We start from the raw sequence: 16,847 nt of genomic DNA, 5'->3' as shown, positions 1-16,847 counted from the left end.
ATCAGACAAAACAAATTAAATCTCAAGCTATGAGAATAGATTTTATGTGTCTGTGTGTGTGTGTGTGTGCGCGTGTGTGTGGATGACATTCAAGGCATATTAGATGTTTAATTTATCCTTCCAAATGTAACTTAAACATGTTAAAAATTGGTGTTTATAATACCTTTGAAAGCAAATACTTAGATAGATACTTTATTAATAATGAAGAAACCTCCATATGTCTGATGAGAATATTTTTCAATGTATTTTTATTCCATTTTCACTTGCAACTTTCATAGAGAAAATAAACACCTTCTTACTCTCGCAATATTCTGAAGAAAATAAACAAGTCTCATACTGACATTGTGTTCTTCATTACAAATGTATAAAAGCTACATTGGCATGTTTACATGTCATGAAAAATATATTTCTATGTTTACCAAAATAAGTTCATAGTTTCGAAAGGCTGCTAAGGTCCAAAACATATTCATGGAAAGTGGTATATTGATAGTTTTTTTAGTGCAAAGAGAAAAAGTTAGTGTTGAGTTTTATTTATACTAGAAGTTAGTACCTAGTGAAAATAATCAAAGTTGTAGGTTAAATAGTCAGCATGGTAATCACACAGTTAGAACAATGAAAAGAACAAAACTATTTAAATTTATCTAAAAATTTTTTAAACTATTTTTAAAAACCGTTGCATTATAGTATGCAAGTGTTATAAAAATAAATCCCTTTTGAAAATTAAAATAATATTCTGTGCTTTTAATACCTACAATGGTATTATGATTTGTTTGACTTAATACGAATAATTTAACTTTGGTAAATAAGTGAGAAATTCATTATTGATCTATTTTATTTTATTTTATTTTATTTTATTTTATTTTATTTTAAGGACACATTACATTCTAAAACACTTAAATATATTGACCATGATTGTGTTAACTTTGATTTGATAATAAGTGTAACATACAAGTTAGCCAATAATTTAGATCACTATACTTCCAATAGTGCAACTTACTTCAAAATACCTATCAATTTTTTAAAAATAATGAAGTAAATTCTTATGTCATTTATTTTTAGACTGGGTGGTTGGTTTTGTAAGACAGAGTTTTAGTAATTTTTTCAGAAGGTTCTAATATCTTGGTTTTCCCATTTGTAAATTGCACTACTTTTGGTTTTAAATACTTCAATAAAGTTAAAAAAAAACTCTTACAATATAAAAAATATTGACTATTACACATTATGTGTAGAAAATAAAAGAAATAGACCAATAAAAGGAAAGAAACAATGATAACCTGTTATTTTTGAGGTCTCATAATTAATATTGATTAGGAAAAGGAAAAATTTGCAGTGTACACAGGAAAGGAAAAAGGGATTTATTTTTATTTTTATGTTTATTTTCTATTCAGCATTGATAGTGATAGAGGAAACTTAGACAAATCCACACCTAGGACTTGGAATTCCTTTCCTTAGGAGGGCAGTTGGAGCAGGAAGAGAATATAAATGGGGGCTATGCTGAGCTGAGTAAGGTCAGTAGATGCTCCCCGTATTTCTTCTTTTAAGTAATCCAGTCACTTGCAGCAGGATCTGCGAATAGGACTTCATGTTCTAACATTCAAGTCTTTATATTTCCAACCTATCACATTTCTACCAAGTAGAGTAATGTGACAAAGGGTCTGACACGTGGATTGGCCAATCATTTTTCTCTTTAAGACATCCTGGCATCTTCAGGTTTTACTTGTTTATCCTGCAAGCATTGAAGTCTTGGCAGAGAACATCATGCTGAATTCAAAGTCTTCAAAAAGAATATAGATAGGGGTCCTAACAGCTGTTAGCAAAACTGCTGGTTCTTCTCAAGCAAATAAGACTCCTTTTGACTCACTTCAAATTGGGCTGATAATGGTGTGAGAAATGCTATTTGCCATCCAAGATATTAAAAAATATCACAGCTTTCTCTCTTATTTTTCTTTCCCTCTGATTTATTCCTATTTCCCCCATTAAGGTATTATTGAAACTATTGTTTGGTTCCAATGAGTCTGCAGTTTATCTCTTTTGACCAAGATTGGTATGAAGACTAATCTGGACACTTAAAGAGGAAATATTCTTTGACTTGGCCAGTGATTGTATTAGAATCACAGAGCCACTAAAAATGTAGATGCATTTATTTGATAAGTACAATGAGCTGAATGTGGAAAGGAAAAGGGGCAGCTAATTACTGGAGCTAATAGCAATAAGCTTGCTTTTGTCTGCCTCTAGGAAGCTTTTCTCTTTCTCGCTATCCTATAATATAACTATTAATTGATTAACTAAAAAATACCAGCTATAACATTTATGTGAAATATCATGTTTTTGATGTCTCAGTAACATTTTAAACAGCTTCAATTTTGAAGTTTATCCCTTACCAACTAAGTTGGGGGGAGATGGGGTTAGAGAAGGGCTTGGGTAACAATTATTTTCTCTCTCTTCCTCTCCCTTAGTTTCATAAAATATGTAATGATGATGTTACTCTGCACAAAGGGATATTTCAGGAGACAAGACGAATTCAGTATTAAGATGAAAGCACAGATAAATACTGGAAAATGAAATACACTGTAGAGAAAAATTTCTGACATGTGGATACAGTTTTAAATTTAGACATAGAAAAGCAATTACAAAGCAACATATCAACAAAAAGCTATAAAAAGTCTATTTCAAAAAAAAGCTGCTGAATGTATTTCCAGAAAATACGACAAATTGACAATGTATTTATTAATATAGAAAAGTTTTACAAATCAGTGAGAAAATATCAAGAATTTAAAAAGTAAAATTGAAAAAGACCTGAATATATCATTTGCAAAGAGGAAATACTAGACAGTTATCAAGTATATGGAGAACATTTTCTATCTCAGTAATAATGAAATAAATGAAAATATTTAAAATAAGTTACAATTTATCCCAATGACTGGAAAATATTATATAAAATATATTCTTGTATATTATATTTTTATTATATATAATATTAACCATTTATATACTGATAAAGATATACATAGGTAACGAATACTGGCAAGTATAACTGATAACTATTATTACTGGCAAGTATAAGAGAAAACCAAGATATATTTCCTAAAGAGTTATTGCCAATGGTCTCATTTCAAAGAATAAAGCCTAAATTTAAACTTCTATGTATTAAATATACTTTTTGCAGTATTATTGATTATGGCAAAAAACTGATAATTTATTTTTTCAACTGCAGAGAAATGATGAAGTAAACCAATAAGTATTATGTTGCTATCAAAATTATATTATAAATACTATATAACAAGAAAGAAAGTTGTAAGTAAATTAAATGATATAAAAATTGATAGCATTACTATTACTAGCATATTTTATCTCTAGTATCTGGATTCAAAGAGTCCTCTGTGTATGTGTGTATATGTATGTGGGTGTTTCAGGCACAAAAGCTTGGAAACCTCCTTGACTTCTTGCTTTTTTCCACAAACCCTGTCTAATCATAAAGACATCTTTTTCACTCTACCTTCAAACTATATCCAGAATTTGGCAACTTGTTTCATCTCCACAGTTACTACCAAGTCATTTACTTTAATCAGCATTTGTGGTGGCGTCTCAGTCCCCATAGGTCCAATCACATCCTACTTCTGCAGACCTCCTTGTTTCTTATCTTTCAATTCTTTACCTTCTAGGCCTCAGACTAACAATACATGCTGTTATCAACCATCCATGAGTGTGTATATATATCTCTGTCTTGGGTTACTTTTCTTTCTTCATAAAATGGATGACCAGGTACACAGTGCAAAACTCGGACATTGAAAGGATTTCTTCACACCAGAGTAGTTAATAACCATCCGTGACTAGGACTGGAGTGTAGGAACACCCATAATTTCTACATACTTTCATCATCTTTATCTAATACATTGATAACTCCCAGCAAGAGACATATGATTCCATAATAGTTGTTATTATGAGATTCTTAGAACTTCTCAGAAGACTAAGATACTGCATCTGGCAGAGTGTTTCCTTTCTCTTGTATCACATCTCAGTTTGCTATAAGTAAAAATATTCACATTTGTACCTCTATAGCATGCCAAATGATGTCAGGACACCACCTCTTATGCAGTCAACATTAACAGCTGCATAGCATGTACTCTACCACCAAAATCTTATTTAAATACATAAAGGAATCTTATAATTCAAGAACTAAAAGGCATGCACCCCAACTGAAAATGGGCAAAGGACTACAAATGGTTAAATATCACATGAAAAGATATTAACTATCATTAGTCACTAGGGAAATGCAAATGAAAACCGCAGTGAGATACCCCTTGACACCTACTAGAAAGGTCTTAATAAAAAAATACAGAAAATAACAGGTGTTGGGGAGGAGGAAAGAGAAATTAGGATCCTTACACATTGCTCATGGGAATGTGAAATGGTGCAGCCACTGTGGAGAACAGTTTGGCGGTTCCTCAGCAAGTTAAACATAGAATGACCTTATGATTCAAAGCCCACACCTAGGCATATACCTAAAAGAATTAAAACCAGGTGTTCAAACAGAAAGTTGTATATGAATGTTCATAAGAACAGTAGTCATAGTAGCTGAAAAGTAGAAACAGCCAAATGTCTATCAATAGATAAATGGGTAAACACAATGTGGTATATCCATACAATGGAATATTACTTAGCCATAAAAAGGAATGACGTACTTATAATATTAAAAAACATTATGTTAAGTCAAAGAAGCCAGACACAAAAAGTCACATATTCTACAATTCAATTTATAGTAAACCCATAGAGACAGAAAACAGATTAGTGCTGTTTCAAGGCTGGAGGGAGGGGAGAATGGGAAATCACTGCTTAATAGATATAGGGCTTCCATCTAGGGTAGTGAAAAAAATTCTAGAACTAGGTAGTGGTGATGGTTGCACAACATTGTGAAGGCAATTAATGCCACTAAACTGTACATTTTGACATGATTAAAATGGTAAGTTTTATGTTACATGTATTTTTCCACAGTAAAAATTTCATTCTAGATTTTGCTTCCTGGGACCAATGTATCATCCATAGTATTACACCATATTACCCAGAAAAGGGACTCTAAGGCACAGATACACCTTCAGAAAGTTTATCAGAGAGAGCTACTGAGAACTGTAGGAGAAATTAATCTGTAATTTGGCTATAAAGGAAGACTTAGCCAATCTTAAAAATAACTGTGGAGGTGGGAGAGCCCTTCGGTATTTCAAAATAAAGAGAAGTGCTCAGATCTTCATACTCAAACTCTACCAAACGCAGGTTGTTCCCAGGGAGAGAGCCTAGCCTTGGGAGAAGCTGCACACTACAGCCAAAAGCAATTTATTGAGAAAGGATTCAACTGTGAAACATCAGCATCCAACGTTATTAGCAGCGGAAAAAAACATGTGTCAGCCCTGAGAAGGAGGGTCTTACTGGTGCACCACTGTATTCACTCTAACACATAAGGCAGAAGTCCTTTTAAAATTCCTATGTCCTAACTTACTGGCATGAAACAAATTTGTGATTAGAATTCTATTCTGACAATTATCTCAATGATCATTCAATGCATGTCCAACATTCACTAGAATCTGTTTGTAAGGAAAATAACTACCTCTCCAAACTATTTTCTTTTTTTGCCATTTCAATAAATCAACTGCTTGAAAGGGTGATGCCTATATTACACTGAGATGATCTGCATGTCATGAATTCTCAGGATAGCCCTGAATAAAAATTACCTTTCCCACGGTCTCTATAACTTCTCTTCAACCTGTGTTTGTGTACCACTATCCAATCAAATCACTAACTAAGAGGACATAATGTCTCCTTGGACATTCTTATTTACTTATGTATCTATTGACTGTTTTTATGCTTTTCCCAGCTTCATGACACTTAAAAAAAAGTTGGCCTCTATGGTTCTCTTAGTATAGTGATCTCAAGCTATTGGAGACAGCTTATAAAGAGTTAAAAATGGTGTAGAACGTAAGTTCCTTTGCAATTCTGAGCCAATGACTGATGGGTGTTAAAAGCTTTCAAAACTCATGGTTTCGTTTAGGACATACTGAGGCGTAACTTACTCTACAGACCTCTCCCATGTGATCAGAGTGAAGCCACTCTCTGTGGGATTGGGAATAGATTGGGGAAAGCAGAAGAGGAAATGGGAGACAAATGAGAAAGGGCTTGATATCAAACCCTAGATCTTCTTTGTTGAATCAATTTCACATGGATCTCATCTCAGGTCCTGTAGCTATAAACCTACCTTAAGACACTAAATGTGGATAATTTACATCATATCTACAACTAATAATCATATCTCAACTTTTGTGACTATTTTAGCACAAATATATCCCTGGGCATGGGAACTCACACCTAAAGTTGTATTTTAAAAAAACCTGAAATCCAATTATAAACCCCCTGCAATTTGGTTAAAAGCAGTTTAATTTACTCAACTGCATAACAATAGGTGGTTTTCCTGATTTTTTTCACAAACACGAAAAGCATTTGATGTGAGTTATGATTGGCTAGATTGCTACATAATAAACAGACTGAAGCAAATTGGGGGTGCGGGTGTAGGAGGGTTTATTTTTTCAACTTAGATTGATGACTTTTATGACTCAAAACAGTCACATGGTTTATTTCTTCAAGTGCTCTAGCCAGGACTTTGATTGTCTGTCTTCCACATTGTTCTCAAGGGCACCTTTACATCAATATTCTGAGGCCAAGGTCCCCAGAGACATTGGCCAGGGGAAAACTGGCTGAATGTGATGGGTGGCTGTTGCCTTCCTCAACTTCAAGAAATAAAGAGTGAAGGTGATTGGACAGTCAATGTGCAGAGTCAAGCATCATCAGTTTATTTTGTTGAAGCCCATACAGTGGAAATTAAACTTCCGGCTGTATAAGGAAAATAAACAGAGACAATGGTATTTTCACTCTCCTAAGCAGTTTATCCAGATCAATATGGGAAAGATTGCTGCTTCACTGTGGCTGACCTGAGCCTTAATTAAGGATTTTGCTCTCTAAGGTTGACATGGCAGCCACCTTCGTGAGTATTAGAGTATTGAGTTTCTCTTTCAAAAATTTGGAGTTAAGACAAGATCAGCATGCAAAACGCAACTGAGGATGATTTTTTAAGAATCCATAAACTAGTTTTTGTTTTTTTCTAAAGTAGATTTAAGATTTCAGTAATAATATCCCTATGGTTTTATTTTGCCTTACAAAGTCCTCATATCCATAGCATAGCAAAGAAGGTCCTTTTAAATCTTGCTCCACCTTTGTTATTTTTTCCTTTTTGCCCACACTGCAAATATATATATATAAATATATATATTTTATATATTTATATATATTTGCATATATTTATAAATATGATATATTTATAAATATATGTAAATATATATTTATATATTATATAAATATATAATATATATAATATATAAATATATAAATATATATTTAAATATAAAATATATATTTATATATAAATATATAAATATATATAAATTATATAAATATATATATGTATATATATGTATGTATATATAAGTCTCCAGCTATCACAAGCAGCTTCTCCTGTATTTCTCACTTTGTGTCTCTGGACATGTTGGCCATTCCTCCTGTGGTACTTTTCCCTGTTTCTCTAACTCTGTCTTCAAACCTAGCTCAAGCATCACTTCCTCCAGGAAGCCTGCCTTCACTTTGCCCTCCTTTCACACTCACTGTGGCGGTTGTCTTCTTTAATTTTAATTTCTTTCTTTATAATATGTTAATATATGTATTACAGCAGTAACATAATATGAAATACTTCATCTCTTGAACTGCATTAAAAATTTATTGAAGAAAGAGATTGTTTTTTTCTTCTTAGGATTCCCATCCCTTAGCAAAATTTCTAAACAATGTATGTGCTAAGTAAATGTTTCTTAATTATTGAATTATTGAATGCATTTGATTATTCAAAATACTTGCCATTTTGAGCTGATACATACTTTAAAATCAAAATGATCATTCCAATGACAAATGATATATGTGATATATGCTGGTGACTTTCTCAAATACATAATATGAAATGAAAATGCTTCAATGGGTGAATCAATTGGCCTGTTTGAGAAATGTACTTCCTGGAAATATATTACTCGGAGCTAGTCTTTTGAAAATAAATGTATAAAATCATTTTCTTTTTACAGAACAGCATTTGTAGGATTAAAGAAAACCAATATTTCTAGAACCCTCTTGTACAGTTTTCATAATTATCAGTACTTGAAATTTTGTCTCAGCCTTTACAAAGATTGCATTAGCATAAAATGTTGTGTTCTTTTGATTTAATATATTCTTTGAAAAGGAAAATATTAACCAGAACTAAGAGTTGGGATAGGAAATTATTACCTGCCAGGTGACAAACAGTACTTTACACTGATGAGAAATATATTTTTTTAAAAATGCAAATTACTGAATTTGAGTTGACACTCAAACCTTTTAGAAAAAATTTGCAAAATTAAAATTTAATATCCACTATTAAAGTAATAGTTATTTAAATTGCAGCAAATTGCAAATTCAAAATTAATGTGTTCTTTTTAAAAATGTTACCTGCATTATTACATTTTGTCAAATCGTGTCTGCACATGATTCAGCACAATTAGGATTCTTTAGACTAGAAAGAGATTATTATGCTTACTGCTTATGATCATTCTTTTGGAATACTGAGCTGAGGCTATAGGTAAAAAAAAAATTTTCGTGATTATAATGTGGCACTTTTGTAAGCTACAATTCTGAAGATCTTTATCCTGAAGATTCTTAGACCCATAATACTTCATAGAAATGATTCTGTTCTTTATTTCTATGCCTTCATATCACTGAATTCCAAATAAAAACCTAACCCAAAGATGCTTATTTTTGAGGATATTAAATTCTCTAAAAATAGACAATAACAAGTTTCTGTACCAGGAATTCTTTTCCAAATGTTTGCCCAAGTTATCACCTCATAGTTCTGCACAAATATACTAAAAATAAGTAGAAATATTTTCATTTAGCAGGAACTTTCACTAAGGCATGAAGCCCTGATTGATCATGATAAATTTCCAGCCCCTTAAGATACCTGTCTTTGTTCTGATGAAGGAATGCTTCCGTGCACCCGTAGAATGAATTTGATTACAGTATTACTTCCTATGCTGAAATCCTTCTGTGGATTGCCATTGAATGGCCTAACTCCTTACTATGGCTTATGGAAGTCTTTGAAATCTAACCCTTCCTCCTGTCCTACCTTCCCTATGCATAATTGTCACTCACTCTGCTCTACATTCTTTTTTCTTCCTGCAGACATACTAAGCCCTTCCTCAGCTCAGGTATTTTGCATACATGAGTATATGTTTCCCTCAATATGTGATAAACTCGCTCCTTCTCAGCCTTCTTATCCCTATGTAAATTTCACCTCCTCAGAGAAACTGCTATGAGTATGTTTTCTGAAAACTCTTCTCAATTAACCCCCAATTTTCTTCATTTCAGCCCTATATTATTTTCTTCATGGGAATGTCTTAATTTATAATTACTGTATTATTAATCTGTTAACATTCGATAAAGTGTCCACCTTCATTAGAATATAAATTCAATAAGTCAGAACTCTATCGATCTTTTTTTTTTTGCATTAAAACCTCAAATTACCTGGCCCTCAATGTATATTTGATGTTTGAATAAATGAGTATATTTTGTTTCTGAATCAACCTTTCTTGCCATGTTATTTATCTACAGATGTTTAACAAACGACTCAAAATTTGATAGTTTAAAACAACAATAAGGATTGATTATTTATTATGATTTCTCTGGTCAGGAATTCGGGAGCTTGGCTAAGTAGTTTTTGCTGTATGGGGTTACAGTCAGATGTCAGCTGGGGCTGGTCACCTGAAGACTTTCCTGGGACTGGATATTCTGCTTCTAAGATGGTTCATTCACAGGACTGGCAAGATTGTTCTGGCTCATGGACAGAATGGCAGCATGTTTTGACAAGGAACTGCTTGAGTGTCCTCATGGCATGATGGCTGCATTCACACAGAGGGAATTATATTTAAGAGACCAGGGCAGAAGCTGCTATGTCTTTCATGACGTATCCTCGGCAGTTATACATCATCATTTCTGTCATGTTATTTGTCACCAGGCCAGTCCTTATCAAATGGGTGAGGACACTATCCAAGAGCATATATACCAGGAAATGAGAATCACTGGAGACCTATTGAACCTGGGTGCCATTCTCCTCTAGTCTCTTCTTCTTTTATCTGAATACTCAACTGCCTTCCTTATCTTTCCAACTCCACCCTTAACATCTGTTCTTTCCTCCTTGAGATAAACAATCCAGATGTATTTTCATACCTTGCATAACATTCTTTATTTTGTCAAGATATCATCAGACCAGAAGTCCATCAATTATCCCCAACATTAGGCATGACCAAAAAAGTCCCAAACTCCTACCTACCTGCTACCTTTTCCTCTTCTCTCTTCTTCTCTCTCTCTCTCTCTCTGTTTCTCTTTCTCATACACACACACAGACCCCCCTAACTGGAGAGTACCTGACTTGTTTTAGACAAACAGTTTTAGAAATAAATTTTACATTTAATTCTAAGGAAGTGAGAAAAATCGTGGGCCAGGATTTCAGAATTCCTCAACAACTTAAAAGAAAGTATTCAGGTGTGCATGGCCATTGATCAACATTTAAGAATTTGTTTTCTTTAAAAAACTGATTCCTTTCCTTCTACCTTTCCTTCATCTCTAGCTATTATTAAACACCCGGTCATAAGCTTCTTAATGGCAAATATTCTTATTTCCCATCAATTTTCTCAAATGGTGAGGCAGCTTATTTTAGCCAAGTGAAAAATTCATTTAAGATTCATGTATGCCGAGTTCTAGACAAAACACTAACCTTTTGGTGTTTGGCCTTAACTTTGTCAAACATAACTTCCTGCCTTAAAAAAAGTTTTAAATGTTAATTAAAAACACTCAAAGAGTCTTAGTCAAAAAATAGTCCTGAACTTAGACCTATTCTCGCCTACAAAATGATGAGTTACAGTAAGAAGCATATGGATTAAATGTCTCCGCAAACTTAATGTGAATTTAAAGATTAGTCAGTATTTGGAAAACATGTCTACATTTTGTTGAATTAGCTAGTAAAAACGTTTGAATGTAATCTAACATAAATTGCAGTCAGTTTTAATTCCTCAGATTAAAATTAGGAGTATGTGCTTATATTATGCTAAAAAGTTTCCAGATTGTTCACTAGGAGTTCAAAAGTTTAATGGGAACCAAAGGAAAGTTATAGTCAGGTGAGACATTTGGTGTTACTGACCATGATTTTAATGTGATTTTTAATCTTCACCACCTCAGTATATGAACACTGAATACCAACAGAAGGTCAGGAATATTAGTTCTTGGGACTGTAGAGATGATTGAAAATGTGGAACATTTGGTCTTCTATGAGAACCTTAATCCATAAATCATTATAATTTTCATTAATTTATAATTTATAATCTGCCTTCATCCAAAAGAGTTTTGAAGTGGCTCACAATAAAATATATATGCAATTGCACTCAATTAAACCAATAGAATTAGTGCAAGAACACCTGTTTTCCTATACTTGCACACAGATTTTTCAAACATTTATTAAACAAATATTGATTGTTATCTTACTTTGTGTACTAAATCCTGCTATGCACTGGAGTTGGGGGGCACTACATAAATAACAAAACTCCTGCCTTTTAAAAGCATATAATTTCCTGGGATAAACAGACAGCAGATATACAAATTATATTTGTACTGCATGTCACTACTTTATATAATAAGATGCCATACATTTTATCTAAATATAGGCGATAATAGAGTTTTAAATAACAATATTCACCCTCGCTGAGAAACAAGAGAAAATAAAACAAATACATTGCCTCAGAGCTCAGTATAATTTGACTCCACACTCATTTTTCATCTGAAGCAAATTATTAGAGTTCTGCAGTGATTGGTACCTCCTCTGTGAATAAATATCATTTTTCCAAAGGATGCTCAAGAGAGATTAGAGATCAATATGGATTCATTTTTGTCTTATAATGGGAAATACTGGCCCTACACAGCTATCACATGCCAAGACAGAATCGAGAGATCACAGACCTTGTCTTTCTATCTATCACCCTTGCTCTTTTATGCACATGTAAACTTCAAGCCTTCCTCATTTTCCTGACAGGTGCACTAAAGACAGTTGAATTATTTACACTGTTCCTAATGTAAAATAGTATGCATTTAGCAACTGAGCCAAAATCTTTTTGTAAAGAAACCTGGCTTTAAAATACCAGAGCAGTACAAGGTTAGTGAATCTCAGCAGAGGTGTAAGAATTAATCTCACTGAAGGTATTACTGCTAGCATATGTAGAAGAGGGATAAGAAATGAATTCACAACAGTTCACTCTTCCATGACTATCTTAAATTTCTTCTTTGCATAGCTACCTCCCATTCTTGCTTTCCTTCTCCTTCCTTTTAAACCATTGCTTTGTTCTTTTTTCTTTCATGGCTGCAATTAGCGTAGCAGAAATGGTAACTCCTATAAGTCACTGGCCTGACTCTACAACATCTACCAAGCACCATGTTAGCGAGTGTCCCACAGGAGACTTCATTTTTAACCTGACTCAAACCTCCGCCCTCAACTAACCCCTTCTCTTGATTCTCCCCACTCCACCTAGATTAGCTTTGTCTTAAAATTGATGCAGAAGGTACTTTTTAAAATGATTTTAAGAATACAAACCTGATTCCTTTAGAAGACAACAAATGGCTGTTTTTCCTATCCATGGGTAACTGTCTTTTTTGTTTCTTTCAGTCTAAAAGCTCTCATATTCTTATACCACTGCCATATTACAACAGACAATATCATGGAATTTTGGAGGAAAAAAAGTTCTTAGAGATGTAAGTGGAGGGAAACTGAGGAAAATATCAGATCACTTATAATTTTCTTCGCACGCAAAGAAAATAAAGCCACTTTGAATGCAATTCAAGTTTTGAATAAGGATATTTAAAAGTTCCCCATTCTGATTTAGGCTATAGTTGTGGTTTTCATAAACTACTCTTCATTAAAAAGCTAGTCTGACTCCATCTGATATTATGTCAGCAAAGGATGATCTTCTTCAGATTTACTCATTTCTTGTTTTGTATTTTAATGATGCTCAAGCCATTTTACAGTTCTAAACAAGCAAAAGGTCATGTTTAAATTACAATGTATTTGTACTTGTTATAAAGAAACAAAGCCTAGAGTCTGCTCTAGGATCATGTTTATGTCATGCTATAGATTTTTACATCAGGATTTTGGATTTTTGTGTTGTTCTTACTATTTTAGTTTTGTTTGTTTGTTTATTTGTTTATTTATTATTTGGAGACAGAGTTTTGCTCTTGTTGCCCAGGCTGGAGTGCCATGGCACAATCTCGGCTCATCACAACCTCCACCTCCCGGATTCAAGTGATTCTCCTGCCTCAGGCCCCTGAGTAGCTGGGATTATAGACATGCACCACCATGCTCAGCTAATTTTGTATTTTTAGTAGAGATGGGGTTTCTCCATGTTGGTCAGGCTAGTCTCAAACTCGAACTCCCAACCTCAGGTGATCCACCTGCCTCCGCCTCCCAAAGTGCTGGGATTATAGGAGTGAGCCACCATGACCGGCTGATTTTTTTATTTTCTTACTTGACTGGGCATTTTCCCATAATTACAAACACTTCAAAACTAAAATTATTGTAGAAAATTGTAGTTACTATTTTTTTCACATAAAAATATGCGATTTTCCTTGAAATTCCCAACAAGTTTTCCTAAAACCATTCTAGATGTGCAAATAATTATTTTTCTTTTCTTTTTTTTTTTTTTTTTTTTTTTTTACTTTAAGTTCTGGGATACACATGCGGAACATGCAGGTTTGTTACATAGGTATACATGTGCCGTGGTGCTTTGCTGCACCCATCAACTCATCATCTAGGTTTTAAGCCTCATATGCATTAGGTATTTGTCCTAATGCTCTCCCTCGCCTTGCTCCCCACCCCCTACAGGCCCCGGTGTGTGATGCTCTCCTCCCTGTGTCCATGTGTTCTCATTGTTCAACTCCCACTTATGAGTGAGAACATACGGTGTTTGGTTTTCTGTTCCTGTGTCAGTTCGCTGAGAATGATGGTTTCCAGCTTCATCCATGTCCCCGCAGAGGACACGAACTCTTTCTTTTTATGGCTGCACAGTATTCCATGATGTATATGAGCCACATTTTCTTTATCCAGTCCATCATTATGGGCATTTGGGTTGAACAACTGTTTATTAATGAACACTACTACTACCAATTCACAAAGGGAAAAACAATTTTAAAAAATCTTAGTGTTCCATATGTAATGTAAATATTTTTTGATACATATATTTCAGAGAAGTTGTCAAAAGTTGCCTATTTACTCTTGTATATTGCTACCCACATATAATGCGAGGAAGCTGATTTGTAAGTTCTTTGAAGGCAGGGACCAAATCTCCCTTCCTTCTCTGAGTGTGCTTAATAGGGGCAAGAACATATTGTCCATTTATACGCCCTCACTGCAGGAGCCAATGAATCTTGAAGTTCTTAATATAGACAATATAGTTTATTTGGATATGAATTCAATTTTATTGAGACAAGGGAGCTGCCTTCATTTCCCTGTGATCACATGGATTTTAATTTTAAGATGCCAGGGAATATCTCCCTTTCGCATTCTTGCTTGACAAGAAGTGATAGAAAACTACAGGACCAATATAATTATTACAAGCCAACTCCAGGCTTTCCTCCCTTGATTCCCAGCTTGTTCCCATTTCATGCTCATTTCCGCTTGGTGTTCAGTGACTGGCTACATAACCTACTCACTGTCCTTCAGCCTGACTTAGATTTGTTGCTTGCACTTTGCCATCTTGGTTCTAACCACACTTTCCTTGAGGCCTTTGAACTCTAATTAAATCTTTCATATTTCTGTTCCAGACTAACTTGGTAGAATATTTCATTCCATTTTTCTTCATTGGCTCCAATTGCTGTCTCTAGATTACAAATATATTTTAACCACTGGTGAAAGCAGAGATACTTGTAGGAAATCACTTAATGTTTTCCACACATCCTTGACAACTCACAGAACTCTCTCTGGTAGATCTCTATTTATTTTTTAAATAAAACTTAATATATATTTTGTTCAGACAAAAAATTTTGTCATACTTAATTTATACAGCTTAAACTTTCCTAATGACATTGTTGACTGTTGCCGGTGAAGTTGCTAGCAAACCATCATGCCCTCTTAGTCTTTTTTTTTTTTTTTTTTTTTTTTTTTTTGGCTGAGACAGTGTCTCACTCTATCACCCAGGCTGGAGTGCAGTGTCATGATCATGGCTCAGTGCAGGCCCAACCTTTGGGGCTCAACAGATCCTCCTGACTTAGCCTCCCAAGTAGCTGAGACTACAGGCATGTGCCATCATGCCTGGCAAATTTTTATATTTTTTATAGAGACCAGGGTTTTGCTATGTTGCCCAGGCTGGCCTCAAATTTCTGGGCTCAAGTGATCTGCCCACTTTGGACTCCCAAAGTGCTGGGATTATATGCTGGAGCCACCATGCCCAGTCTGTACCCCTAGTCTTAAGGATGAAAAGAATTCTATCAGGTTCTCTTATCCTTCTTCCAAAACTCTTACTTCCTCACTATAGTGAAAACAATACCATATATGTACATATCTATACATCTAGTCCAGGAACAAGTGATTATAACGGTAACCTTTTACAATTAAAATCTGACACATAGAGGAAAATTCCATTATGAGAAGGCAGCACAACACTCCAAAATCAGGTTAGGTCTCTATTTAAATGGGCCTGTCTCAAATGCATCTTGATCACTGAATAACGTTAGATACTGTATCAACTGATCTTCTGAACTTTGGTTCATCAGCAAACCAAAAAAAAAAAATTCGTACCTACTCTCCAAGGTTTCTGTGAATAACAAATGACATAACAGTATAAATCACAGAAAAATGAGTCTATCTTCTGGTCAGTGCTTAATATATATGTTAGTATTTATAACCATAAATCAGAGTGATAATAGCAGCTAAGACTCAGAAATCTGTATGGGTCAGACACTTGTAAATGTTTTAATTCATGCAGTAATCCTATATGGCAGATACCGTTTCTTGCAGGAGAAACCTGGGGCACTGACAGGTTAGACAATTTGCACAACCAATGTAACATTGTGAAAAAGGACAGAAGCAGGATTCAAAGTTAGACAGTCTGGCTCCAGAGCCCTTTGCTTATTACTATGTCTCAGCACCTCTCCTCATGCTTGGAAAGTTAGCAAACATGGGCAATGGGTAACTCCAAAGACAAGTGTTTGTAACAGGTTCTGAAACTTGGCAGCATCACGTGGAAACACCAAATCTTGCTGAATTACAATTCTTCTAACAGTTTTAGCAGTTGCAAGCCAGCAGTGATGCTTATCATTGAAGCATTGGCTTTTATGTGCACTGTACTCTGTCACACAGAATTAAATGAGATAGACTAGCTCCCATCTCAGAACAATTAAGTCAATTGAGTGTAAAGGCCACCCCCACCCCCACCCTGATACTGGGTATGTAAACAATATTGATTTTAAGTTTATAGATTGAATAAACTGGAAGCCATTTGAAATTTGTAGAAAATAATTAACCATAAGATGATTCAATCAAAAGTTTATTGAAAGTAACTAAAGTAATGGAAACTATTGATCATTACAAGGATTGATCAAATAATCAAAATAAATTTCATTTAATCGGGATTTAATTGGACAATACTGAAACTGAATAAAAGTCAATGGAAATGGATAGGATGGTGTCTGAGCATATATTT

Source organism: Homo sapiens, chromosome 16 (assembly GCF_000001405.40).
Source record: "Homo sapiens chromosome 16, GRCh38.p14 Primary Assembly".
Lineage (NCBI taxonomy): Eukaryota > Metazoa > Chordata > Mammalia > Primates > Hominidae > Homo > Homo sapiens.
The sequence above is the reverse complement of the archived record's forward strand: the minus strand, read 5'-3'. Positions refer to the sequence as shown.